Source organism: Homo sapiens, chromosome 6, assembly GCF_000001405.40.
Source record: "Homo sapiens chromosome 6, GRCh38.p14 Primary Assembly".
NCBI lineage: Eukaryota > Metazoa > Chordata > Mammalia > Primates > Hominidae > Homo > Homo sapiens.
In genome coordinates this window covers 131320585-131324126 of record NC_000006.12, presented here as the reverse complement: position 1 = coordinate 131324126, position 3542 = coordinate 131320585, and the positions used below count along the sequence as shown (strand labels likewise).

Here is a 3542-nt window from a genome sequence, read left to right as displayed (position 1 = left end):
AGGTGTCCCTGCAATGATTAAACACCAAGGGAAGGCTGCCTTCCTAGTCCGTGACTGGCGCCGGAGTTTTGGGTCCACGGATAAAAAGTGTCTCCTTTGTCTCTACCAGAAAATGAAAGGAATTGAAATTAACAGAAGGCAGAGATTGAAGTGTGGCGCCAAGATTGAAAGGAGAAAGAGGTTGAGGGATAGTGAGGGAGGTTGGAGAAGAGAGTAAAAAGAGGCCGCTTACCGGATTTGAAATTGGTGAGATGTTTCTTGGGCTGGTCAGTCTGAGGACCTGAGGTCGTAGGTGGATCTTTCTCATGGAGCAAAGAACAGGAGGACAGGGGATTGATCTCCGAAGGGAGGTCCCCCGATCCAAGTCACGGCACCAAATTTCATGCGCGTCCGTGTGAAGAGACCACCAAACAGGCTTTGCGTGAGCAACATGGCTGTTTATTTCACCTGGGTGCAGGTAGGCTGAGTCGGAAAAGAGAGTCAGTGAAGGGAGATAAGGGTGGGGCTGTTTTATAGGATTTGGGTAGGTAAAGGAAAATTACAGTCAAAGGGGGTTTGTTCTCTGGCGGGCAGGAGTCGGGGTCGAAAGGTGCTCAGTGGGGGAGGTTTTTGAGCCAGGATGAGCCAGGAAAAGGACTTTCACAAGGTAATGTCATCACTTAAGGCAAGGACCGGCCATTTTCACTTCTTTTGTAGTGGAATGTCATCAGTTAAGGTGGGGCAGGGCATATTCACTTCTTTTGTGATTCTTCAGTTACTTCAGGCCATCTGGGCTTATACGTGCAAGTCACAGGGGATGCGATGGCTTGGCTTGGGCTCAGAGGCCTGACACTATAATGGAGGAATAACTTGAGTGAATTGTTTGTAGTTCATAAAATAGAATAATATTCAACCATTAAAAGGTTATCATGTAATATACCTAGTGTTAGAGTATGCTTTTTAAAAGGTTAAAAAAAAGAACATGTGTCAAAGGTTTTGTTTAACTCATTAATTAATGAGAAAACAGTAAAACAGGTTCAAAGGGCATTGGGGAAGCTAGGCATTTATAGGTAATTTAATAAATAAATGTTAGGATAAGATTGCTGGGATAGGAGCAAAATTGGTTAATGTCAAGATGGCAATGAACTACAGTCTTTAAGATTATCACCACACCATACACACACATGCACACACACACACACACACACACACACATACACATAAACCTACCTGGCCCACTGACCTAATAGAAATTATCTACATCTTGACACAAATCTATGTTAACCTCTGCATCTACAGAGTAGTAAAATAGTCCAGGTAACAGAAAATCAAAGCTGCAAGCTCAGCAATGCCCTGAAAAAAAAGCCCAGTTTTTTGTTTGTTTGTTTTGGTTTTTTACCTATTTCTACGTTTCAGATAATTTTTTCACACCTCCTAGCATTGGTATGAGAATTGTACGTGTCAGTACATGCAAAGCACATAGAAAAGTGCCTGGCACAGAGTGATTATTATCTACCATCATCAACACATAGCTGTACTTTTGGATTTTTGTTTATTAATTAAAAATCGTTTACTTATAGAAGGAAAAGAGACAAAGTGGGTGACAGAGTGGAAACTCAAGTTTTCTAGTGAAACCATGCATAATATATTGGAAGTTGAGGGAAAAAAGTCATCATAGACCTGGGTCTTTTCTAAGAGAGGGTATTGAAACATTCTTAACTAATGCCATTTCACTCTATTTGTTTCTAGAACATTGTGGGCTTGGGAGGTTGAAATTGACAACTTCTAGTGTCAAAATTTAAAAGGTCTTGATCATTTGAGCCAAGAATGAGAAAAGCTACGCAGTGGGAGGCAGGAAAGGGGGAGAGCTTTTTAGAATGCAGATTATTGCCAGCAAAGCAAAATGAATTTGAAAGGAGCTCAATGGGAAAGGGTGAATATGTTTCTCTGGAGCTAGAAATAATAAATGGAAATTAATTCTATAAGGTCTTTAATTTAAAAGATGGGTTTATAAGATCTCACTTTCACTTGCTTTATTTAATGTGTTGCCCCAATTATATTGTTTTTATAAGTTAACAACTTATTATAGTCACTTTCACAGTTTCACTTGCATCCTCAATCCTCCCAACTCTGTTTTCCCATAAAATCTTAGGTTATCAATCATTAGTTATTTTACTGCAATGATTTCAAGAATGGTTTGGCATTTGTATTTCAGAGTCTTTGCAAGGGATCATAGCTTTAAAATCTCTATTTCCCAATTTCTATTATAAACATTTGTTGCAAGATATGGTCCTCATGGAATCTTGGCTAACAGTTAGGCAGCCTATTTACTCCAATTGTTCATTCTAGCAAAATAGACTGCTAAGAATCTGATTCATGTTTTGGAACTCCTCCCTCAAAAAATGTACATATGCTCATAGATATAACATTTTGCGAATAATTTCTGGAGGGTTATTGGGCCCCACTGAAATCCCTCTATGTGTTGGTTGAGCCTGTATTAAGAACTACTGTTTTGGTCTTGTTTGTTTGTTTAATCTTTTATTACAGAAAATTTCAAACACACCCAGGAGTAGACAAAATGATATAATGAACCCCCATATGCACATGACCCAAACCCCACAGCCATTGATCCCATGCCAATTCTGTGCTCCTTCCATTTTAAATCTGTCCATAAATCAAGCTGGACCATCAGATAACCATACATCTGAGATAGATTATTAGTACTAGAGGCAGCTCTCACCAAATTATACTTAAGTGTGATCATAAGTTTGAAATGGTTTGATAAATTCTTGAAGTGATCCCTAGAAAAAAGTCGCTTTTGTACCTCTTACAAATTCATGTTGAGGGCCAGGCATGGTGGTTCATACCTGCAATCCCAGCACTTTGGGAGGCCAAGGTGGGTGGATCACCTGAGGTCAGGAGTTTGAAACCAGCCTGGCCAAGCTGGTGAAACCCAGTCTCTAGTAAAAAAAATACAAAAATTAGCTGGGTGTGGTGGCACACACCTGTAATCACAGCGACTGGAGAGGCTGAAGCAGGAGAATCACTTGAATCCAGGAGGCAGAGGTTGCAGTGAGCCGAGATGGCACCACTGCACTCCAGCCTGGGCAACAGAGCGAGACTGTCTCAGAAAAAAAAAAAAAAAATCATGTTGAGGATGTTATCTACTCCATACCATCCCACCCCTCCTAGACCTCATTGCTGGAACAATCTGCACTTCTCAACTATTTCTTTGGGAGTATCTTAAGAATACTGTGAATTTCATGACTGATCATTTATTACTCAAGATTTTTGGTGGATAGTTTAAATATTAATAGTTATTGCAATTGTGAGTCCTACTTCTGTTTCTTTTATATTTAAACTCACTTCTGGCAAATCATTTGATTTTTTTGGTGTGATTATCATATACCCTGCCATTTCATTGACCTTTAAAATTAATTCCTAGAATTTTTCTGTGGAGTCTCTTGAGTTGTCTATTTATGATAATGTATGATAAGTGTGTGATAATGTCATCCAAAAATAATAAAGTTGAGACATCTTTTCTAACATGTATTTCCATTGAT

At 39.2% G+C, this 3542-nt stretch overlaps 1 annotated feature.

Moving 5' to 3' along the window:
* Positions 275 to 1063: an enhancer, noted in NCBI's record as "OCT4-NANOG-H3K27ac-H3K4me1 hESC enhancer chr6:131644204-131644992 (GRCh37/hg19 assembly coordinates)". NCBI's record gives its function as "activates a minimal SCP1, AML or CMV promoter by ChIP-STARR-seq in naive and primed H9 embryonic stem cells {active_cell/tissue: H9 hESC(naive and primed)}" and the evidence as "EXISTENCE:reporter gene assay evidence [ECO:0000049][PMID:30033119]".